The following is a 25,664-nucleotide window of genomic DNA, read 5'->3' on the forward strand; positions in this document are numbered from 1 at the left end:
GTTAGGGGAAAAAGACACACTAAGATTAACTACCTCAGATATACCAGAAACACTTTGGGCAGAACAGCAGAGCTTCTGGACAGGAAACTAGAAAAGCTCCATTTTAATATTGCCTGTCACAAACAATAGAAGAAAGAAAAGGAAGAGAAAGAAGAGGTCAGGAACATGTTATTTCAAACTTTTATAAATAAAATTTAAAGATTATTCTCCTTGGTACTACTTAGGATTGAGGCTCTAATACATGTGCCATTTTAAGCTCATCTCTGGAAACAACATGTAAAGAATTTGAAGGTATTTGCTTTATCCTACTGTCCTGTGTGAAGTCTGATTTATAAAATGAAATGGCTTGGCTGGGTGAGGTGGCTCATGCCTGTAATCCCAACACTTTGGGAGACTGAGGCAGGTGGACTGCTTGAGCCCTGGAGTTCAAGACCAGCCTGGGCAAGATAGTGAGACACCCATCTCTACAAAAAAACACTTAAAAATTAGCTGGGTGTGGTGGCACACATCTGTGGTCCCAGCTACCTAGGAGGCTGAGATGGGAGGATCGCTTGAGCCTGGGAGGTCAAGGATACAGAGAGCCATGATTCTGCCACTACATTCCAGCCTGGGCAGCAAAGCAAGACTGTCTCAAAAAAACAAATAATTTTTTTAAAATAAATAAATAGAATTTTTTTTCCTGAATGGAATTGTGATAGTAATAACAGCCACCATTTATCAATTAATAGAGGGCTTACTATTTGCCATGCATGGATCTAAGCACTTTACAGACATTAACAACCATATGAGGTAGTTATTAATATTATCATTTTCACAGATGAATGGCTGAGGCTCAGAGGAGTAACCAGATCTTCCTCCCTTGTCAGTGCCCGATTCAAGCATCTTCTCTGAGAAGCCTCTACCTCTGACCTCACCTACTCCAGGCTTCCTCCATCACTCCTTCCTCTGAGCTGCCTTGCACCTGGTATATTCCTCCTCCATGGAAACCATCACACAGTAATTATGATTATTGGTCTGAACAGCTTTCTCCCCAGCAATGCTAAGAGGGCAGAGGTCCCATCTTGGGTTTTTTGTACTCTCAGACCCTGTTATGCTGCTTGATATACATAATAGAGATTCAAGAAATGTTCATGATAAATGAGTGAATGAATGAATGAATGAATGAATGGAGAAAGTAAACATTTAGGAAAAGAAAACATTATAGGGAAAGGCCCTAGTGGGGAAGCAATATTTAAATAATGTAAGGACACATATCCAAAAGTTATTCTAACACTTACTTTGGATTTTATATGCATATACTCTGTCTTCCAATTTCCCTATCTGTCAGAATAGCCAGTAAATGCCAACATTCTTCTCAAACAGAATGACACAATGTTGTAAGACATGACAATCTTTGTCATGTCATTGTAAGAAAGAGTGCTGGATTTAGAATCCTACCTGAGTTTGAGACCTGACTCTACTGACCTGGGGCAAATCAGTCAACCATCTGAGCCGCTTTTGCTCATCTGTGACATAGGATCACTTCCACCCATGCACCTACCTCACATGTTCACGCAGCGATTTAGAGAAATCAAACTGTATATGCAAATGCATTCAATAGGTATAAAGAATAATACAAATGTTAATGGCCATAATAGATGGCTGTTATGAGGGACTGATCACTCTGGCTAACTTGGAGTCGTGTGGCATGGGGAAGGTAAATGGCAGCTAGCTTCTATTGAGCACCCACTCTGTGCCAGGCACCATGCAAGCACTTCATGTACATGACCTCACTTTACCCAAAGCTACTTGAGTAATTAACCCAAAGCTATTCATAAAGGGTCAAGCTGGGAACTGTTGTCATGTCTTATTGATTTCAAAGCTCATAATCTTTATCTCAACACTCTGCTGTCTCTTTGGAACATCAGTTGTCAGTGTACAAAATTACCTGAAAGTTAGAACATATGGTTAAAAGTTCTGGCTGTCAGGATTCAGAAAAACTTTGAATATTTGTTATATTAAAATCTTGGCTGGGCATGGTGACTCCTACCTATAATCTCAGCACTTTGGGAGGCCAAATGGGAGGATTGCTTGAGCCCAGGAGTTCGAGACCAGCCTGGACAACATGGCAAAACCCCATCTCTACAAAAAAATACAAAAATCAGCCAGGCATGGTGCTGCATACCTGTAGTCCCAGCTACTCAGGAGGCTGAGGTGAGAGGATCACTTGAGCCTGTGAAGTCGAGGCTACAGTGAGCTGTGATCACACCACTGTACTCCAACCTAGGCAATAGAGCAAGACCCTACTGAAAAAAAAAAAAAATCTATTGGCATCTTTCACATTGATGTTTATGAGACAGTCAGTCCTTTTACTTGGAGTTTAAAGGTAGATGGCCCTTTAATAAATAACAGCTTTCTGCCCTAACCAAGCTCACAACCAACAGACAGACAGACCTGAATCCGAGCCCAGTGAAGATCATAACACACGTATTGTTGATCGAAGCGAAACTGAAGGGTGTATCTCCACGTTGCAGCCTCAGTAGCTTCCTTATGTGCCACCCCATCATACAGCCTTACCCCCTAATCACTGGCATCACTCGCTGTCCACAGACATTGCCCAGAGCAGCAACTTGCTTCATGGCAGAAAGGGGATGAGAATGCACCCTTTTAGTGGGCTGACAGACAGGAATAAACAGACATGCAGGAGCGTAACAGAGGATGTTCATTAATCAAACTCATTAGTCACCAAAGTCCTGCTCCAATGAGCATGACTAAAGAGGCCAAGAGAACCTGGAAGTATTCCTTCCCATATCTGCCTTCCTAAGGCATGGAGTAAATTTCCTGTTCCTTGTGCCTGTTCCTCTATGGAAATATGATGCATGGGAATAGATGCATTGTGGGCATTTTGTTTCAAAAATGGAGAAAGGAAGGGTTCGTTCTAGAAATCTGAGCCAATGAGGATCGATTCTTTTTTTTTTTTTTTTTTTTTTTTAATACGGAGTTTTGCTCTGTAGCCCAGGCTGGAGTGCAGTGGTAGGAACTCGGCTACCTGCAACCTCCGCCTCCTGGGTTTAAGCAATTCTCCTGCCTCGGCCTCCTGAGTAGCTGGGATTACAGGCATGCACCACCACTCCCAGCTAATTTTTGTATTTTTAATAGAGATAGGGTTTCACCATGTTGGTCAGGCTGGTCTTGAACTCCTGACTTCGTGATCTGTCCGCCTTGGTCTCCCAAAGTGCTGGGATTACAGGCGTGAGCCACTGTGCCTAGCCGATTCACTCTTATATTTATACTAATGGAAAATAACTAAAGGAGAAACCTCAGAACATGATGCACAGATGCTTAAAGACCCTATTCAACGTATCAGCCCAACTTGGGGATGTGTGTATGTGTATGTATGTATGTGTGCACATAAACATGCACAAACTCATACATTCTTTTAATCCTATGGGTCACTGTGAATCTGATATGGTGGTTCTTAGATGGGGAGGAGGGCACTTTTGCCATGCTAGTGGATAGATATTTCGCACTGTCTGGGGACATGTTTGGTTGTCATAATGGATAATACTATTGGCATCTAGTGGGTCATGGCCAGGGATGTTGCTTTTACAGGGCACAGGGCAGCTCCCCACAACAAAGGCTTTGCTGACCTGAAACATCAAGAGGGACAAGCTTGAGAAACCTTGACATCACAGTGGTAGGGCAGAGAACACCAACCTAAACTGAATATTCCATAGACAGTACACGTAACACAGTAACTTTATTGGCCAGACCACATCTGTCAATGTAACTGATCTATACTGTAATCACAGGAACACTATGAACTGTAGATGTGAGAGGCAGGCAATGATATACTTTACTAATTTACCCAGCTGCCTGTGCTCGCTGATGTCCACAGAATATCATTTTTTAGATTTAAAATGTCAACTTAATATATATCTCTCTGTCCTAGCTCCACTCAAACCTCACTAAATGGAGGTACTGGCCTCACCTCCTGGACTCAATTTCCTTCTTCCTAATTCAAATGGTCTCTGATATTACCTGCATGCCTGAGGGCTGCAAGCAGGCTTTATGTATGAGTGACCACAGGGCTAAAGATCTTGCCATCGATTAAATCCCATCATTCCTTTCTGCAGGCCTCTAAGGACTCTTCTACCCTCTCCACACCAGGCACAGTGGGGGCTAACCCAATAATGCCAGATAAGAGAACAAGTGACCAAGGTAAAATTATCAACAAATATACAAAAGGGCTGGCAGCATCATATGGGAGCCATAATACCCTCTTCTTTCCTGAACCCAACACTGCAATATTTGAAAATACCCACAGGCTTTCTTTCAAACAAGAAAAATGCCTCTTGAGACTCCAATCCCAGCTGAAAATTTAGCTGGCAGTGAAGAGCCTATCCACTAACCTCAAGGTCAGCTAAATATCTAGTCTTTTTTCATAGCATGATCAAGTTTTACATCCTGTGTTTGGCAAGGAAGGATTTACTTAAACAATATTTATATTATATTCTTAAAATAAACCTGAGCCTAGGGAAAAAAATATAACCCCATGTCCATAGCAAAACACCAAAGAGCTGCTGGGTGGAGAAGCTATGGCTTAGGTTTCAATTTAATTCTTATTTGCTCAAATGCCAAAGTAATTTTTCCATGAGGAGAATGAGGTCATTCTTCACAGAAAGGGATCACTGTCTCAAAATTCATATGACCAGGAAACACAAGACCAATATAATGAGAGGTTTCAGAAATGTGAACTAAATAAAGTGGACTTAAGATACAAATCTGTACATGTGACTTAAGCCCAGAGATACATTAACAGTATACCATGAATCCTTTGCTTTTTTCCTAGGAAAGTGTATCCTCCCATACCCAGCCCACCCCATACCAAAGGGTCCCCTACTGTTACACAACAGTAGGGCTTTTCCAAACAAACCACATGAGAACACCAGTGGGCTGGTTCCCCAGGGCTTCCTTGGTGCCTTAGGGGGAGCCAAGTCCCTGGTTGGTTTGGTGGGGTCTTGAAATAGATTAGGACATGTGCCCCGAGTTATTACAAATATAAATACCAATGATAGCATGCAGGCAGAGGAAACAGAGGTGCCACAATATCATCTGTTTGCATCTGGATTCTATATTGCCTTGCCTACTTTTCCATCTCACCTGCGTATACAGCGTATACTGCGTATACAGTATAGCATGAGGATAAAAAGGAGGAGCTGTTCAAATCCCAGTTTTGCCCTGTCCCACACATTTGACTCTAGGAAAGTTATGTGATTCTCTGTTACTTGGTTTCCCCATCTTTAACATAGTGAATAATAACAATATTGGGCAATTGGGCCACCAGGATTGTTAAGAAACAATATTATTATGAGCTAAGTACAGAACCCAATATTCGGTAAGTTTGTAAATACTATTTTGTACTTACTACACTAACTTTTATGGTTCAAGATTTGGATTGAAAGATTTAAAAAAGCAAAAGACTAAAAGACTTCAAGTATTATCCAACTCAGACCCACTTTAAGAAATAGGAGCTCAGGGAATCTACATGATGCATCCGTAGTTACATAGCTCGTTAGCAACAGGATGAGATTAAAACCCAGGTTCCTTGACTCCTGGACCAGTGCTGTTAGGGGGGAAAATGGTGTAAAAATTTTCAAAGAAATACATTAATCAATTCTCCTGCCAGGGAAATTGTGGATACTTTCATGTAGTAGAAGCATGTCTTTTAAAGTTTGTGGCCTGCATTCATTCAGCCAGACCAGGCATTTGTTGCAACAGAAACAGCTGGTCCAGCCGGGACTTGTCACACAGTCACCCCAAGCCTCTAAACGAGCCATTATCTGGCAACAGCAGATTGGGACCATCTGTCACTGCAGTGCACATATGGCCCCACTAGTTTGCAAGAATAAGGTTGTCACAAAAGGTCATTAACTATGCATCACTTTTTTGTGATGAGCTCTAAGCAGACACAATGATCCTCCCATTTTATTTCAAATCCTCTAATTCTCTTCAGCACCTAGAGAAGCTGAGGCCCAATAAATCAGAAGTCTTCCTGCTATGGTCTCTAGCAAATCCCAGAAAGGGTTCCATTTATTTGCTTCCTTACCTTTTGAAGAGTTTAAGTTCTTTTTAAAACATATTTTACATTCTCTTTATAAAGAATCCCAGAAGGACTGAAGGTTTGTAAATAGTGCCTAATGCAACATAAAGACTGGGTTTGCTTTAAATATACTTGAGAAAAGTAGAAAAACAAGGGTAAGCAAGGCCAACTATTTGGGATAGACAGAATTGTAGCAACAGAGAACACAGTTAAGAGAGAATCATACCAAGACATAACAAGTATTTGCAAGGGTGTGGAGAAACAGGAACCCTTGCACGCTGTTGAATGTCAATTATTATAGCCCTTATGGAAAAGAGTATAAAGGTTGCTCAAAATAATCAAAAATAGAATTACTATATGACTCAGTAATCTCACTTCTGAGTATTTAAGGAAATGATATCAGTATGTCGAAGTGCCATGTTCATAGCAGCATTATTCATAATAGCCAAAATATGGAATCCACTTAAGTACCCATCCGTGGATGAATGGATAAAGAAAATGTCCCATACATACACAATGGAATACTTTTTAGCTTTAAAAAAGAAGGAAATTCTACCATTTGCCACAAGGTGGATGAACCTGGAAGATATTATGTTAAGTGAAAAAAGCCAGGCACAGAAACACAAATATTGCATGACTTCATTCATGTAGAATCTAAAAAAGTCAAACTCATAGAAGCAGAGAGTAGACTGGTGGTTCCCAGGGGCTGTGGTGTGTTGGGAGGGAGATATTGGTTGAAATACAGAAAATTTCAGTCAGATAGGAAGAATGAGCTCAAGAGATCTACTAAACAATATGGAGATTACAGTTAATAACAACATATTATATTCTTGAAAATCACTGAGAGACTAGATTTTTAAGTGTTTCCACTACAAAAAAGTGTGAGGTAATTTATATGTCAATTAGCTCAATATAGCCAATTCACAATATATATCTATTTTAAAATATCATTTTGTACACTATATATATACACAATTTTTATTTGTCAATTAAAAATTAATTCGTTATTTTTAAAAAGAAAGAATCATACCTTTCTTGTTTGGTTTCTGCAAATAAATACAAGGACAACTACCTAAAAACTACTAGAGCCTATCAAGTGTCTTTTTAAAAAAAAATGCTCAGATACAGTGCTTTTAAAATATGGCTTCAGATTCTTTGATATTTATTTTGATAAAAGGTCAGGTCTATGTATTGTCATCATAGTTATGGGTGGCCTTGTGATTACTTAACCTAACAAAGTAAGGTAGAAGTGATACTATATGACTTCAGAGGCTAGGTTATAAAAGGCCATGTAGCTTCCACCTTATTTCTAAACACACTTATTCATTTCTATTCAATTTCAATAACTTTAGGAGTGTAAGTGGTTTTCGGTTACCTGGATGGATCGTATAGCGGTAAAGTCTGAAATTTTAGTGTACCTGTCACTCAAGTAGTATACATTTTACCCATTATGTTGTTTTTATCCATCACCCAGAGTCTCCAATGATGGTTATAACCATTCTGTATGCCTCTGCTGCAAAACACATTATTTTATTCTTTTTTATAGCTGAGTAGTATTCCCCGGTGTATATATGCCACATTTTCTTTATGTAGTCATTGGTTGTTGGGAACTTAGGCTGGCTCCATATCTTTGCAATTGTAACTTGTACTGCAGTAAACATATGTGTGCAAGTGTTTTTTAATTCTTTTTTTTTTTTTGATAGAATGACTTATTTTCCTCTGGATAGATACACAGGAGTGGGATTGCTGGTTCAAATGGTAGATCTTCTTTTAGTTCTTTGAGACATCTCCGTACTGTTTTCCGTAGAGGTTATACTGTACATTCCCACCAGCAGTGTATAAACATTCCCTTTTCACCACATCCATGCCAACATCTATTGTTTTTTGACTTTTTTTTTTTTTTGAGACGGAGTCTCACTCTGTTGCCCAGGCCAGAGTACAGTGGCGCAATCAAGGCTCACTGCAAGCTCTGCCTCCTGGGTTCACGCCATTCTCCTGCCTCAGCCTCCCGAGTAACTGGGACTACAGGCGCCTGCCATCACGCCCAGCTAATTTTTTGTATTTTTAGTAGAGATAGGGTTTCACCATGTTAGCCAGGATGGTCTCGATCTCTGCCATGGTGGTGGTGTAAGGTAAAACACACACTAACTCTTAAAGCCCTGTCCCACCATGTAAAACGTTTAAATATCCTGAAGCCTCCAAACTGTGGGGGAAGCCTAACTCACATGTAGAGTTCAGAAGTGAGCAGGTGTTCCAGCTGATAGTCCTGCCTGGACCTAGCCTTCATGTCATCCCCACCAGGGCACTCTAGATAATTCCACTCTCCAGTCATACCATTCTTCCCAGCTGAGGCCCCAAATATAATAGGGCAGCAACATAGTCATCACTACTTTGTACTGTTTGAATTTCTGATGCACATAATCTATCGGTAGAGTAAAATGGCTGTTGTTTTATACTTCTAAGTTTGGTATAGTTTGCTATATAGTGTAGGAAAACAGCTTATTGCATGGCAAGAGTAATGCCATCTTGAAGCAAAACCACCATAATGACTGATGTCTGACTCCTGCAGCAAGGTTAAGAAACACCTATAGTATAGATAACCCCTCATAAAGAAACAATGCCTGTAGCATAAATAACCCCTCATAAAGAAGCAATGCCTGTAGCATAGATAATCCCTCATAAAAACACTTAACTAACTTCCCCAGTGGTGAGTTTCACAAGAGGGTTGAAGACATGACCAGTTGCACATTTTACCAAAAAAAGCTTGCTAAATAAGGAATACTCTCTGGAGGGCAGGTATGGGGATCCACTGTCTAGAGGCCATCCCAAGACACGGCTTCTGTTCCTAAGTTTCTCTTAAACGTTCCTCTCAGAGAAACTGCATTTGTCAGTCTCTTTCTTCAGCCTCTCAACTCCCTCAGCCTTTGAGGTTAGGTTTGCATAGACCTGCTCACTGTGGAACATACAGCAACAGATAATCAGAACAGAACTGAGATAGTCAAAGCATCTCTGGCTATTGTTTATGAATGTAATGAGAGAAAGAAAGAGAAATAGTCCTCTGCCACTTTATGCTATATGTGTTATCTCATTTAATCCTCACAGAAGTTATGCAAATTTAGGATTATTTTTCCCACCATTTACGCTCTGAGAGGTTTAAAACAACTTGCCCAGGGATGAAACTAAAATCTGCACCTGGGACTATTTGACCCCATACATCTATCACATCTCACTTCTGCTCAATTGTCCAGAATCAGCTACATGTTCCCAGAAGTCACAGAACACTGTAAGTAAAACCAGCTTTTACATTCAATGAGTTGCTTTTTGAGCACCTCTCTCTGCCAGATATTGTGCTCAGTGCTCATATCAAGTGAGCAAAATAAGCTCATATTGGTCCCTTCCTCCAATCTTATGTCTGCTCTTGTTGACCCGTTTTTCCACATCAGAGGTAGTTTTTAAAATCCACATCTGTAAGATATTCCCCCTGCTTAAACTTTTGCAGGGGTTTCTCTCTAGCCCATGCCACAGCGATTCACAAACTTGATCCAATAACTGGTGCCAAGGCTGACTGCATGAAAATCAACCAAGGCATGCTATGGGCATAGAGATTCCCAGTCTTTGCTTGCAGAGATTCTGATTCAGGAAGCTCCCCAGTGGCTCCTGTGTGCAGCCATGTTGGCAAACGCTGGCCAAGAGGTTAACATCAAATTCTTCCACATGGCATATGAAGTCCAGCATAATCTGACCCCTACTCAACCCTCTAAACTCACCTTCTGCTACTCCTTCGCCTAACGCATCATTCCACAAACACATCTTTGAGGCCTCTTGGTCTCTGGATATTCTGTTCCTTACACAAGAAATGCATTTCCCTCACTGAACTGTTTGGTGAAATCATCTGCTCTTCCCTGAGCATTCCCTGGCTCCCCTTACAAACAGAGTCAATGTCCTTTCCCTGTATTTCCATTGCCCCTCATACCTATCTCCAGTCACTTAACTCAGGCTAAGTGATGTGCTGAAGCCAGGGACCCAGGCTTATTCACTTTAGAATCCCCAGGGTTAGCACAGTGCCCCATTTATCAAAGATAGTCAACAAACGTTTGCTGAATGAATAACCCAATGTGTTTCCTTTCAGCTCTAGCTGCCAAGAAATGCAGAGCCAAATTCAGTTACCAAGTATAGTAATTAGCTCATCCCAGGTGCCTGGTAACATCTGCTCCCTGCTTCTTTGAGATGGTCTCTGTTTTCTTTTTAGCCATAATTGTCCTATTTCACATTAGGTTTAATTTAGTATGTTCTTTCACATCCCTTTGAAAGAAGGTGGGATATAAGTTCTGAATAAATCAATAGATACAGAGTTCCTCAAAAGACACCTGCGTTGGCATAGCATAAGAGTAAGGGGAGAAAATTACTGGAAAATATGCTATGTTTCTCAAATCAAATGATTAATACTTCTTCATGTTTTCTTTAATGAATAAAAATAAATAACTGTGAGGAAATCCCACCCAGATGAAAGCTTATTCATTTAACAAATAGTTACTGAGCACCTACTTTGTATAAGGCATACTGGTGACATGAACAGCGAAGACATGATTAAGATCCTAGAAATCAAAGAGCTTACTGTGGGGTAGGTTAGAGGAGACCTGTATATAAACACAGTCTTGCAAATTATGAAGTGATCATGTCTATACTAAGAATGCAAGAAGAGAATGGATTTCTACCTGTTAGAGTCCAAGAAGGCTTCACTGAGGTCATACAGTCTGACCTGGGCCTTAAACGATGCATAAGATTTAGACATGTAAAAAAGCCTTGGTCTTAGAACGTCTGCCTCTGTCTAGCTTTTTTTACATAAGAATGTATGGCAGGCAAACTATGGGTTGGCTGGATGAGACTATCTAATACTTATCGAACTCTCATTTAATATAATTCCTGGAGTAATATATGCACCAGGCTTTATATTACATGGCTTATTATGTTTTTGGTCTTCAAATAACCCTATGGGCTAAACAGATAAAGAAACTGAGCCTTAGAAGTTACATGACTTGCACAAGGTCACACAGCCACATGTGCCAGAGCTGAGACCCAATCAAGGCAGACTCTAGGGCTTTACACTTAAGCCCTCCCAGACACTTATTCAAGGAGCAAAGATTTATACCTGGGAGCAGGAGATGAGACCAGAAAGACAGGCTGAGGTTGGATGGCAAAGGCCTTCAAGGCCAATATAAGGACTGTGACTTTCATTCTGTTAGCAATGCAGAGTCACTGATGACTTTTTAAGAGGAGAAAAAAATGATAAATTGTACGGGCATTATAAGATTAATGAATGAATTACTAAGTGAATCAATCAAAGAATTTTTAGGGTAAATTAATCAAGCATCAGCATAATAATAGATTGAAGGAGAGAGATATTGAAGAAATGAAACCAACAGATTTTTTAAAAAACAAACAACAGCAACAAAAAAAACAAAACCAGGTAACAAAGGCCTGAATAGGACAATGAGAGAGAAAAGAAAGAACAAACATGGAGAGTGATCAGACATGGAATAATGTCATGCTCTGGAGCAACAGAAAGGACAATGATGTGAGAAAAGTGTGTGGTAGGGGTCTAGGAGAAGAGATTCAGGGGCTAGCAGGAGCCTCATGGAGCTGTTCTATAGGATGAGGTCAGGAGAGAGGTCAGGGGAAAAATGATGGAATTAGAAGTCATCCACATAGAGGAAATCATGAAAACCATGACATGAAGAAAATTTCCAAGACCAAGTATATCAAGATAAAATATGGAGAAACACAGTATAAGACGTGAGGAGAAGAAGGGGAATCAGAAAATGCCAGGTGGTAGAAATGAAGCAAAGAAGAAAGGTATCTTAAGATGAAGGGAAAGTGAGGGGGGAAATGCAGGCAGGGAAGGCTTTGAGAAAGAGAACTGACAAAAGGCCATCTAATCTATTAAATGAGAAGTGACTCTTAAGACAGGTCATGGTAGATGAAAAGGAAAAAGCCAGCTAACAAGGAGATGAAGAATGCTGGAAACCGACAGAAGTGTAATACAGGTCAGGGGTTGCAAACCCAGATGGGGCCAGATAGATAACACGCAAGGATAAAGCAGGCTGAGTGCAAGACGATCATGCAGCACTCTGGGTCTTTTACTTCCCACATTTGACAGAAGCATCAGTACGGTGAAATACTTCTGTATCTAAGAAAAACAAGGGTGCAAGGCAATGATAAATGGCAACTGACACTTTGTCTCAGCGTCGAAGACAATATGGAATGGTGGGGCCTGTGGTGAGCTAGAGAACGTATGCCCCATCTGAAGGCAGATGCAGAAACTCAGCTCCAACAGACTGTCGTCGTGTGAGAATGTGGGCCCAGTGTTACCAGTTCCCCAATGTGTCAAGAGAAAGAGAAATTTAGATTTTTATGCAAATCTCCCAAATTTTAAACATTGGAAAGAAAACATGACATAGGCCAACAAAACAGGTTTTCAGGCATAATCTAGCTCACTGCCTGCCAGTCTGAGACCTGCTGAATTCACTATGTCTCCATTAAGTTTAGCAATGAAAAAATGAGAAGGTAGAATGGTAGAATCGGGGGAAAGGCTTTTTGTTTGTTTTAGGATTAGAAAGAACTGAGTATTTTTGTTGGCTAACAGGAAAGATAGCCTAATGATCAACAGAAAGAGATTTGAAGTAGCATGAAAGAGGGTGCAAACTAACATAACAAAGGTTTGTTTCATTGTGTTGGTTTCAGTATGCATTTTTTTATTAAAAATCTTTGTTAAGTACTATTTAGAATTAATTGATCAACAAGAAGTGACAATCGTATGAAACATGCTATTGTTACTTCATTTTGTAAAGAAGCTGGCCCCGCTGGCAGCTAGGATAATTTTATTATTGAAACAACGCTTGTGATGTGCCAACAGGGACTGTCATCATGGATAAAGAACATGTCACTCAGCAGCTAGCACCCCTCTTTTCAAACAATGGAAACACCCCTTCTGTGAGAAGGAACTTGGATTTGGTACTAAAAATTCCCGTTTCTTATCATTTGGAAGCTGGTTAATGTCTTCAGTGTGCCAAGAAAATAAAGCCCGAATGTATCCAATTGTCCTGGTAAAGCTGCCAGTTCTTGTCCAGCTTGGCTCAGCGAAGAGAGGGGAGGCAAAAGAAAGCCACAGACAGTCTGTAGATTTCAGAAGCCATGACAAGAGGGACATGACTCTCAGGCTGATCGCTTGTCCTGGATTCTGAAAGCCCATCAATACCTCCTCTTTCCAGATGAAACTAAGGCAAATTCAGATGGCACAAGTAGATTGTCAAGTTAATTTTATGTATTTTTCAACCCAGTTTCATAGGAAGACTGGAGATCTAGTGGACAAAAAAGGAAGGAAGGGAGCGAGTCATGGAGGCATGTTCCTTAAATGCCTTTCAAACCCTCTAAAGGAATAATCCACCTCTAGTATGTTGGTGCTTTAAAATGATGACTTTCTTCTCCCTGGTTTTCATGGGTCCTGCCCTACATACCCAAACTAATTCCCCATTATTCCTAAAGTATGTTCTCTGCTCCTGCAGGCCAGCTAGAATGGTGATATCCTACAAAGACAACATCTGTTTATTCATTAAATATTTATAGAGTACATATTATGTGCCAGACACTACACTAGGTGATGGGGATCAATAGTGAATGACACAATCATGGTCCCTGCCCTATTAATGCATACCAGGTTCAGTTCTACTTCTGCCATCACTCATATTCTTCTCTGCAGGAATGCTTACCCTCCTTCTCTCTGCCTGGAAATATTCCACGTTCCTTCTCTTCCAATAATCCTTCCCTATATATTACCAATTCATCAACTTCTTCTCTGAACCTCATCAGCTCTTATGAGCCTATAAAAGTAATGTAGCATTTAATGATACACTTCCCTGTGTCACCTGCCCTTGTCTCATGAACCTTGTCTCCCCATTGAGGCCATAAAGCCCTTGAGGGAAGAAACCACGTCCTTTATTTCTTCTCTGCCTTCCTTATGGACTAACACAAAACTTGGTGCATTTTAAGAATGTATTGCAGATGATTACTTTAAACATGGAATTGAAGAGCAGTTCATAAGCCCTTTGTATTAGTTCCCTATGGCTGCTGTAACAAATGTAACTTAAAATGATTTTTTTAGGTCACAAACTTGGTGACTTAAAAACATAGGAATGTATTCTCTCATTGTTGTGGAGGCCAGAGTCTGAAATCAGATCACTGGGACAAAACCAAGGTGTCAACACAGCCATACTCCTTCATGAAGCTCTAAGGGAGAATTTGTTTCTTGCCTCCTCCAGCTTCTGGTGGCTATCTGCATTCTTTGGCTTGTGGCCACATCTTTCAAGCTTGGCCTCTATGGTCATGTTGCCTTCTCCTCTTTTGTCTATGTCAAATCTTCCTCTGCCTCTCTTTCATAAGGATGCCTGTGATTGCATTTAGGGTCCACCTAGATGATCCAGGATAATCTCCCCATCTCAAGATCTTTAAATTAACCACATTGGCAAAGGCCCTCTTTCCTTGTAAGGTATCATTTACAGGTTCCTGGGATTAAGGCCTGATTTACGTGGGGCCCATTATTCAGCCTTAGATTTAGGGCTTTTGATTTAATAAATCTGTAGCAAACAACCGAATAAAGTCAATTAAAATCATGAAGAATAGTCTCTCTCTTATCCAGGGATCTCTTATCCAGGAAATTTAAATATACAACAGCTAAGAATCAGAAAATAACGCAAAGTAGGTATCACAGAGTCTTCCAGTAGGCGAGACATCCTAGGGTTAAAATTTTTCAGAAGGATTCACTATTGGGAAAGCAATAGTCTGAAATAAGTCAAAAGCATATTATTTTTTAACATGTCCCTCAGGATTAAAAGAAGACTATTTCAAACTAGGATACCTGGGAAGACCATAAATTCAGATTAATTTTTTTTCCTAGGGAAGAGAGTCTTTCTAGTGGTATTCAGCCACAAAACCAATCTTTTCCCACCTAAAACTGCAGGTAGAGATAATATCCATTCCCTTTAGGAAAGTGGTAAGACAATTCAGGCCAGGTAGACCACAGGTAAACTGTGTTGTTTAGTGTAGTTTGGACCTCAGCATGACCAGAGAATAACTCAGCCACTGGGGTTACTGACTGTCTGTTCAGGAGGCTAAGACAGAATCTCTAAGAAGGTGCATCCTTACGAAGGTGAAATCCCAAAGAAGATTGCCTGAAGTCTGAATACAGTTTTAAAAGAGATGAATGATCATCAGGGAGTGTAGTCTAAAAAGAGCAAAATTCTAGTTTTTAGAGTTCCAATTGTACAGGATTGAGTTGTGCTACAGTAACTGACATGATGCAAACCCAGAGGTAGTTTTTAAGGTCCCTGCTTACATGTACATGAAGAGACAAACAGTAAAAAACTTCAGGCCACAGGGCTGAGGTTCAGGAACAACTCTCTTATGAGAAGGCACTGCTGGTCAAACCAACCCAATCAACATGTAATTAGTTGAAATGTTAACTTAGTTGGCTTAGTAAATCTAGTTATCTTTCTCTTAGCAAGATTTGGGTATGCTTAGTTACTACCTTTATTTTTAATGTTCTAGTGAAAGAATACCATTCATGGTCCACAATACAAATATAAATTCTCAGTGGCACCCAGCCATCATCCATTCACCCTGCAGGTTCCTCTAGGGAACTGGTGCAGGATGGCATCAACAGGGCCCACAGGTGTCACTGCTTTTGAGCTGGTGAAGGTAATGACTACCCAGAGTCATCAAGAACAGGGCATATTGTGGTCTACACTCTTGTTGATAAGGCAGGAAACTATATAATGCATTTTTAAATAATTTTCCACAAACACACTTTTTTTTTAGTGTTTTTAAAAGAGATTTTTTTTTTCAGCTATCTGGAAATTTTTCTTAGGAGAAACATCTCTCCTGAAGAAACCCAATCAAAGAAGCAATTCTTCACTCTCATTGATGTGCCTCAAAGCAACTTCCTCTGACTCCTCAAGACCCCAGTGAGGATCTCAGTTTAATTCTCATCTTAGTGTGGACTTTAAATCATTTTCACATCATAACATGTCAACTGTTTACCCTCTTTAATCTCAGTCTTGGAGCTAGAAACATAAACATCCTTCAAGGAGGCAGCTTTGTTTGTCCAGACCCTGTCCCCTGGAAAAGTTATGATCAGCAGGAAATGAAAACAACCAGCATAGCTTTTGTTTTCATTGATATTGGTGACATTTTGCAAATGGAACACCTAAAGCCAAACCAAACCCCGGGCCTCATTCTGACCAAAATCCGAATCAAGGAACTTCATGCAGAACATTAAAAACTCAATTGTCTCCAGCTACAGCTGAATGAAAAGCTCAGATTAAAACTGGCAACGATTTACTTCCTACAAACATGCTTTGTTTCTGGCTAACTTGTCAGCTCATAAAAAACGCCTCTGTACAAGCAGCTGTCTCATTCAAGACGCTGAATCCTTTCATGGTCGTCAATACAAATGTGTTACACAGAACCCAGTCCAGGACCCTTGCTCTAAAACCCTGGCCCAGAGTGTGGGCCTCTCTGCTTCCCTGGTATGCCTTTCTTCTAATTTGATGACTTGCATTTTCAATAAATGGTTATAGAAAATGCCATGCTCTTCATGGAATCCCCTCATCATGCTGCTTCCCAGAAGCCTGTTTATGGAAAAAGCCGGCCCCAGAGGCAAAACAGAGGAGGTCTCTGAAGTTTCCAATTCTTAATCCTAGCTCTTGCTCTTAGCAGGTTTTGGCCAATTTAATGTCTTTATATCTTTAAATGTTTCCTTAGTGAGCTGAGCAACTTGCAGTGACCACGCTGAGCTAGCTTGCTAGGGAGAAATCAAATCAAAATTATGGCAAACCATTTTGCAAATATAAAGCAGCTAATGAATAATGTAATGTCTTTCCCAATGAGCCAGTAAATAAATTGATGACACATCTGAGATGCCTCATTATTTCCTGGATTATTTAGAGAGGCACTGTCAACCTAACTTCAATGTCAATGGTAATATATGCCATTGTACATACTGGAGAGTGGACAGTAGCTTAAAATAAAGAGCCCCTTTTACAATTCCTGATTCTGCTTTGCTCATGTTCCTTCACTCACCTGGAATGACCTCTTTTCTCATTGCATGCTGCAAGTCTTCTCTGAGAACTAGTACACACTCATTCCTTCAAAGCTCAAGCTCTGTTAAACTTCATTAGCTCCGACCTAATGGGAAGACAATTCCAGGTGCTTGAAATTCTCACACGTAATTCCCAGTTTTGACATGCATTGGTTGTGTGACCTAGGAGATGTCACTTCACGTCTCTGAGTTCCAGTTTTCTGAACTATTGAAATAGGACTAGGAGTGCCCTCCTTGCAATTATAGGATCTTCCCCATCCAGGCTCATTTTGGTGTACGGTTACGGGATCAGTAAAGATTGAAACAACACTGTTGCCCTGTGGCAGGGTCTGTTTAGGCCCTCTCACCAGAGCCTGGGGTTGATTCCTGACTGAGCAGAATATATAGGAAACATCTTGGCTGAGGCAAAAGACATTCAAAAATCTTTTTTTGAGGGTATATTATGTAGTAGATATGGTTCCATAGTTGTTATGGGCTAAATTGTGTTCCCTTAAAATTCATGTGTTTAAGTCCTAATCTCTAGAACCTCAAAATGTGACTGTATTTTGAGATATGGTCTTTAAAGAGGTAGTTAAGGTTAAATGAGGTCATTAGAATGATTCCAAATTCAGTATGACTGGTGTTTTTGTAAGGCCAGATGATTAGACACAGACGTACGAGAAGACAATATAAAGACATAGGGTGAAGACAGCCATCTACAAGCCAAGGAGAGAGACTTCAGAAGAAACCAACCCTGCCGACACCTTAATCTTAGACACCTAGCCTCCAGAACTGAGAGGAAATAAATTTCTCTTGTTTAAGCCACCCAGTCTGTGGTATTTTGTTATGACAGCTCAAGCAAACTAATAGCCACTGACCTCCTACTTTTCAGAAACTATCCCCCACTTAAAACATCTACACAATTTCAAATTTAATAGACTTTGTTCATTGGTTTTTTTGTTGTTGTTTTTGGTTTCTTGTGTTTTTTTTTTTTTTGAGACAGAGTTTCACTTTTGTCGCCCAGGCTGGAGTACAATGGCACGTTCTTGGCTCACTGCAACCTCCGCCTCTCGAGTTCAAGTGATTCTCCTGCCTCAGCCTCCTGAGTACCTGGGAACAAGTACGTGTGCCAACACACCCAGCTAATCGAGTAACTTTTTTAAACCCAATTTCTTACACTAATCAATGACACTCAGCTGTTTCATCTGGAACCACACAAGGCTTATGGGCCTTGCCTCAACCATCAGATCCTTTCAGAGATTCTTCTTACCACTAAGACATCTAACCTCCCTGGCCATGTACACTTCTTAGCATACCACGTTCTCTACTATGTATCCTTTCTCTCTCTTCCTCTCTCTCTCTTTTTTTTTCTCTCTCTCTCTCTGAAATCCTGTGCTGACATCAGGCCTCCAAACCATAGGCTAGAAAAAGAAGCCAAATAAATCTGACGCCTGAGAGGATGATGATGATTCACTTTTTTTCTCCAGAGTTCATGACTTTGGAGTTGTCTCCCCTATGCATAGGGAAGCAAGCCCTGGGGAAGTAAGTATCTCTAACAGATGATTCATACTACCTTCCACTCTCCCTCTCCAATTTCCCTGGATTAGAGGAAGAAGAGAATGACAAACAACAGCAGCAGACCTCCCATCTACCAACCACTCCCCCCACTGCAATGAGATGAGACTTAGGGAACACATTTGAGTAATTTGAGTACTTAACCCCTTTTAAGTTAGGCAACAGGGAAGGACGTCCAGGACAGGCACTTAACCAGCCTCTCCTCTCTGGCTGATACTGGGGCCAACCTCGACTCCTCTCTTAGCTTTTCACTGTCAGCTCTTGGCCCCAGGGCACTAATGGAGTAAACCAGCCCACGCTCCTACCTGCTGGGATGCCACATCCACCTTTTCCCCAACACAAGTCTGGAAGCACTGAGTGCATTTTACAGCTGTGTATACAGGCTTGTGTGTGTTTTGCTTTGATTGTAAAGCAAGGTCTAGAGTGCTCCTGTTTTATTAATGTTTAGATGAGTGTCCTGAAGCCATGGAGTAAATTGTTACAAGTACCTATACAGCACCTTACATTTGTATTATCCTTTACTGTTTAGAAAGCACTTTTGCATACATTTGATCTAATAACCCAGGGCAATTTTTTTTTATCATGTTATCAATGAAAAACTGAAGTTTGGGGAAGCAAATGATGTACGTGCTCAAAGTGTCATAGCTACTAAGTGATGGAGCTGGGACTCTACCACAAGTCTTCTAAAGCTTCTGTGTTCTGTGACCTATAGCAGGCTTTGGAATTTATATATAGAGATCCGAGAAATATCCGTACTATGCCAGACACAGTAATAAGTGTCTTCATATTTTTGATCTGATATAAACTCCACAGCAACCCTGAAATGATCCAGGACTACAAAAATTTCCACTTATCCAGATACATGTGTACTACATGAAGAGGACTGGGGAAGAAGATGAGTAATGGTAATAAATGAATCCAGAGAGACAAAGACAATTAGATGAGTGTTTATTATTCCCATTTAACATATAAGAAAAAGGAGGTTGAAAGAGGATATGTGAATAGCCAATGGAAGAATTTTAGTTGGAACCTAAAATTCCAAAAAGCAATGAATTGATCATTCCAAAAGCATTGATTCGATTCACCAACACCTGGCTGAGCTCTTTTGAATTCTAGCATCTGTACTTTTCATAAAAGAAGGTGATGAAAGGTAACGAAGGAAGATCTGAAAAATAATTGAAGTACAGATGCAAAAATACCAATGGGCACTGCCTCACGCACAGACAATTACAGCAAAATAGTCTGAGTCTGGTAGAATTAACCTCATACCAACTAAGGGAGCAGCTTAATATTTCCTCTTGTCAGAGATTTTTCCAGATGAAAGAATTAAAGACAAGCCCGAGTCAGAATAATAAAGCAGGTAAAAACTTGTATTGAACAAAGACAGAGAACCATTCTTGTGATTGGCAAGCCATTGGTCATGGTTCAGTAACACAGTGAGATGGTCTCATTCCCTCTGTGACTCACATGATTCTCTTCCAGAAAGACTGTGCTGCCAGGATGCGAGTAGCTAGCTCAAATAATTGCAGGGTACTCTCTGCCACTGGGACTCTCATTTCTATAAAGATTACATCTCTCCCTAATCAGAGGAGGGTTTTCATATGACCCAGCCAAAGAACCCGCCTTTGACATCTCAGGCAAATTAAGGGGAGATTTTGAGAAACAAGTGCAGGAAATTAAGATTCTGGTGGAGCTGCTTAGCTTATTTGAGAGGAGAATATAAACATCATAACTTACATGCCACTGTCACAGTGTTAAATCTCTGCTTGCCTCATCTTAATTAATCCTCACAACAACCCTATGAGGTAGGTACTATTATCATCTACATTTTAAAAGCAAGAGCACTGAGACACACAGAGGTTAAGTAACTTGCCCAAAGCCACACAGCTAGTAATGGCAGAGCCAGAATTCAAACCCAGGTGTGCAGGAGAGAAAGCAGATTCTGTTTATTACAGCATCACATGCCATCATCCTAGTTTTAGGGTCTCTAATGAAGGAGAGAGAAGAGACCTGGACACTCAGGGTGCTTTCCTCCCACAGCACCTTGTCTTCCCCTAGTTCCTACGTGAGGTCCTTAGCAATTCAGTACAAAAAGAGAAGAAACTAGAAATAGCGGGGAAATTGAATAGAGCAGTGATATCACAACTGTTCACTCTATACATTCATTTTTGTTTTCTCCATCCCTATTCTCCCATCTTTTTGGGAGAGACCAGAAGTTTCTATAGGAACATGTTTAAGCAAGAAGAAACCAGAAACTGCATACTAAGTGTGGCAACCTCCATGTCTGGACTCGCTACCTCCCTGATCTACAAGGACCCCAGTTACTTAGCATTCAGGGTATCCTATCAGTCAGTCTATGCAGAGATGGCTGTTCCTGGGCTATTTCTATAGATTCCCTACTTCATTTGCATTTATTTTGCCTGCATGTCAGTTTCAGTAAATGCTTTAATTAATTATATACTTTAAAGTGCTTGACCATGTGCCATATAGAGACAGGGTACAATTTTTTAAATCAATGAGGGGAAAAATCACTTACAGGGCTTATCAGCTGGAACATTTGTGTTTCACATATAAAAGGGGGGCTAGGAAAGAAATACCCAAGCCCCAAAATACCCAAACTCTACAACTTTGCCTAGATGGGGTTTTGCCTTGCAACGAAGTTTGTTGTGAAAGCCCTCGGAGGTATAAGAATGAACCTGCTCAAGCATGGAAACTTCAGGAAGTAGGAAGGAGTGACTGGCCCCTAAAAAAGCAGAACCAGAGATCTCCATCAAATGTTATCTTGCTGCTTGGAGAAAAAGGCTATTTTTACCCCTGGGTTATTGAAAGAAGCAAACTAGTAAAAACACAAGAAAACCAAAACACATGTGCCAAGATCACAGCTGATTTGATCAGTCCTGCTTTCCTATAGCCAGACAAGTCTGGGTGTCTGGCAGACTCAGGCTTCTGCTCTGAAGTAGACAGAAGGGAGGTTGTGGGCATTTCCCCGCTGTAAAAGGAAAAGCCAATGGAAGAGAGAGTGGGAGAGTAATCCCAGCTGCTCAGTCCAGCACCCGGCACATGGGTTTCCTGCCTAGCAATTGCACAGCAGCTACAGCATAAATAACAACAGCAGCAGGTGGCAAACAAAGGACAAAAATAACAATAGAGCCGGGTGTGGTGGCTCACGCCTGTATTCCCAGCACTTTGGGAGACAGAGGTGGGCAAATCACCTGAGGTTGGGAGTTGGAGACCAGCCTGACCAACATGGAGAAACCCAGTCTCTACTAAAAATACAAAAATTAGCCCGACATGGTGGTGCATGCCTGTAATCCCAGCTACTTGGGAGGCTGAGGCAGAAGAATCGCTTGAACCTGGGAGGCAGAGGTTGCGGTGAGCTGTGATCCAGCCATTGTACTCCAGCCTGGGCAACAAGAGTGAAACTCTGTCTCAAAATAAATAAATAAATAAATAAATAAATAAATAACAATAGCTACCATTTGTCGAATGCCTACTGTGAGAACAGCTCTTTCACTGGGTATTTTTACATGTATAATCATATTTTTTCCGCATAACCTATATGATAATGGTGTTATCCTTATTGCACAGTTGAAAAAATTAATAGAAGATTAAAATACCTAGCTCAGAGTTGCATAGTTAATATAAGAGTCAAGATTCAAACCCGGGTCTTTATGAATCGAAGGTTTAGGGGAAACCATCACTAGTGCTCAAGTTTGCCACTGTTTTCTGAGAATCAAGAAGCTGAATGAATCACAAATCACTACCACCAGTGATTCCAGCTGCCTGCCGCACCACAGCAAATGATTTCCAGGGGGTTACCTAGAGATTGCTACAAAACCTCACATCCCATAAAGCCTTTACATCTACCCTCTACTGCTGGAGGAAAAAATGTGTATCATTTTGCTCCTCTTCTGGGTCCAGATCTCTCACAAGTGCCTTCTAGTGACAGAATCTACGTGGGACCACTATTGGCAAAGAATTGTGAAAATGTAGTCAGGCTACTAGCCCTGTGATAAGAGGAAGTCATAGAATAGAGCAAGAATGAATCTGCATTGCCCAAAGGCATAGGCAGGGATATCACTACAACAATCCGGAATTTAGGAAAATGTGTGGAGGTAGTTATAATCCACTACTGAAAACTCTATAATAGGGAAGGCATGGCTATAGTTTAATGGAAGCAGCTGATGAACCAAAACCACAGATGAAATATTTTGGCCACTATTTTGCACCCTGACTAATATTCTCAAGCTGGCCAAGTACTTTTTTGCAGATTCAAAGTTTCAACAGCCTCCGGAAGGAAAGGAACGTGCAGCTGAAGTCTCTTTCCAGCCCTTCCTGTTCTTACCAGAGTCCCTTGTGAGAATCCTATGCATCAACAGTTTTAATTATTGGTAAAAGAATTCTGGGCTCTATTTTCCACTCTCAGTGAAAATTCCTACCTGCTGGCTGCCTAACCCACTAAAAGCACTTTTCTGCTTACTATAATTTCTTGAGGAAAGGCTTTAATTTTAATGACTGAATTAGCTGAAATGACTTAAGAGAAATTTGTTAATTTTTAACTTAATTTCAATGATCACAGTTACATTCTATCCCTATATCCTGAGGGCAATTACTTCCAATACTCATAACTCTTTCTTGACTCCATATTTCTCAATATTATGCTGATACTGCTAGTTCTTGATTTTTCCATTTAGATGTTATGTATTGACTGTCTACTATAAAAAATGAGGACTTCGCTTTCTTATCATTCAACATACACACATACACAAGCATACAACTTGGTTTTTCATTCATCCTCCCAAAATAACTTTTTGAGTTAAGTCAATATTCAGTATTACATTATTACGATAGGACATTTATTCACAGCTGCATCATGTTGTTTTCTGTTACTATATATCTTTTCTTATAAACTTTTTTGTTTTCCTTATATTTTTCCCCCTTGCTTAAATTTTCAGTAATCACAAAGTCATTGGCAAACTTTCTACCATAAGGAATAATCAATCTCCTTTCAACAGGCTGAAACATATCTCCGAGAAGATGTAATACCGAGAGATATGTTTTGCTCTGGGAGAAGGAACGGCCACTCTCCTGAGGGTATCTCCAAGAAATATGTTTGCTCTCTGGACTTACTGCCCAGCTACCATTCTGAGACAACCTGCTAATATCAGCCAGGGACTTAGACATTGTATCTCATGAAATGTTCCTGGGCACTCCCTTGAATCTCCTCTCCACATGAGGTGGTGGTGGTGGTGGTGGTGGTGGTGGTGGTGGTGGTGGTAATAGCTATGTTTTCCCACAGTTGGGCCAGAGATTCCCCTCCACATTCTTACTACCCCCTGTTCTTCTTAGATGATCCTACATGTGTCCTGGGCATGTGAAAGTAGGGTGCTGGTGTATTCCAGAGCCTGAGAGCCTTCCAGTGCCCCTGTGGCCAGTCTGTCTGAATGGGAAATAATGGAGAGAAACCAAAATACAAATGTGTGTGAAGGGTTTCCAAGAAGTTGTTATCCAAACCATTTCTGGAAATAGATGATAACATTATTTCCTTAAACCCAGGATGCCAGAAAAAGAGAGACAGACTGTAATAAATGGCATGATGTAAAAATTAGTTTCGAAATCCCAGTGTTTTTCTCTTTTTCAAGCCAATTGCTTTGTGCTAAATGATATCACCAGGGGTCTATGAGTGAGTTCTGTGTAGGCCCAGTGCCCAAAGCCTTTTTACAAATCCATTTTCTAAAATCATTGATGAGGCCGTTGCTACATGGAGTACAGACTCTGGCTCCTTTCCTCAAATTCAAACATTAGATAATAAATACGCTATCACAAAAGTTTGGTTAGCTGAGGCTCCCTGGAAAGCCAAATAGCAAAACCAAAAAAAAGCACAATTTTGCCACGTATTCCATGGAGAATACAAAATGCAACTGACTTAGACCTGGAGTGAGTGTCATTTCTCCCCATTGCACACAGAACACAGCGAAACCCATCATTCTGTAAACATTTATATATACATATACATATATATATATACCCACACACATATCTATATATAATAGTATGAATCATAATATCAGGCTTAGCTAACATTTTAATCACTAACACTCTAATAAATGGTATTTCTGCCCTACTAAAAGTAGGGCAATAGATTAGCAATAGAGTTCCATGAGCCCCCTTCACCCTTAAAAAAGTATATAAATCAATTTTAGAAGACTTTTATGTTCAAAGTACTTTTCTTAGGTGAAGAATAACTTACATACAGTAAGATATATAACTATTAAGTACACAGCTTGATGAATATTTACATATGTAAACACCCATGTTACCACCATCCAGATAAAAATATAGACTATTTCTATCACCCAGAAAGTTCCTTTATGCCTGCATGTTATTGGGTTCATTTTTAATGGTAAATATACTTTATTGCTAACTTTATATTATGAGAATATTTGATTAAACAGAACTCTGACCATTCCAGGTAGAAAAGAAAACGAACATTTATCGAGCAAATGAAATTTTCTAAGCACTTTGACATTTCATGCTAATCCTGTTAGGTGTAATTATCTCCACTGAGCCAATGAGGAAACTTGGGCTCTGAGAGTTTAAGGGGCCTTTCCAATGTCTTACAGTCTGTAAGCAGCTCAAGGCCTTTGTTTTTTCTTTTCTTTTTTTTTTTTTTTGAGACGGAATCTCGCTCAGTCCTGCACTTAATTGATCCTCCCACCTCAGCCTCCCAAGCAGCTGGGACTACAGGTGCACACCACCACGCCTGGCTAATTTTTAAATCTTTGTTTTGTAGAGATGAGGTCTTGCTATGATGCCCAGGCTGGTCTCAAACTCCTGGCCTCAAGCTATCCTCCGCCTCAGCCTCCCAAAATGTTG

The 25,664-nt window shown here is 40.4% G+C and overlaps 1 long non-coding RNA gene across 4 annotated transcripts in view; it reads right to left on the reverse strand.

Annotated features, from left to right (window-relative positions):
* The window catches only part of LOC105369844 (uncharacterized), a 310,508-nt gene extending 307,839 nt beyond the window's left edge, over window positions 1-2,669 (reverse strand). For all 4 annotated transcript variants that reach the window (XR_007063375.1, XR_007063374.1, XR_007063376.1 and 1 more), the window contains exon 1: window positions 2,434-2,669. This is a non-coding gene — a long non-coding RNA (uncharacterized LOC105369844). The remainder of the gene's footprint in view (window positions 1-2,433) is intronic.
* Between the last annotated feature and the right edge of the window lie 22,995 nt (window positions 2,670-25,664).

The sequence above is a fragment of the Homo sapiens genome, chromosome 12 (genome assembly GCF_000001405.40).
Source record: "Homo sapiens chromosome 12, GRCh38.p14 Primary Assembly".
NCBI lineage: Eukaryota > Metazoa > Chordata > Mammalia > Primates > Hominidae > Homo > Homo sapiens.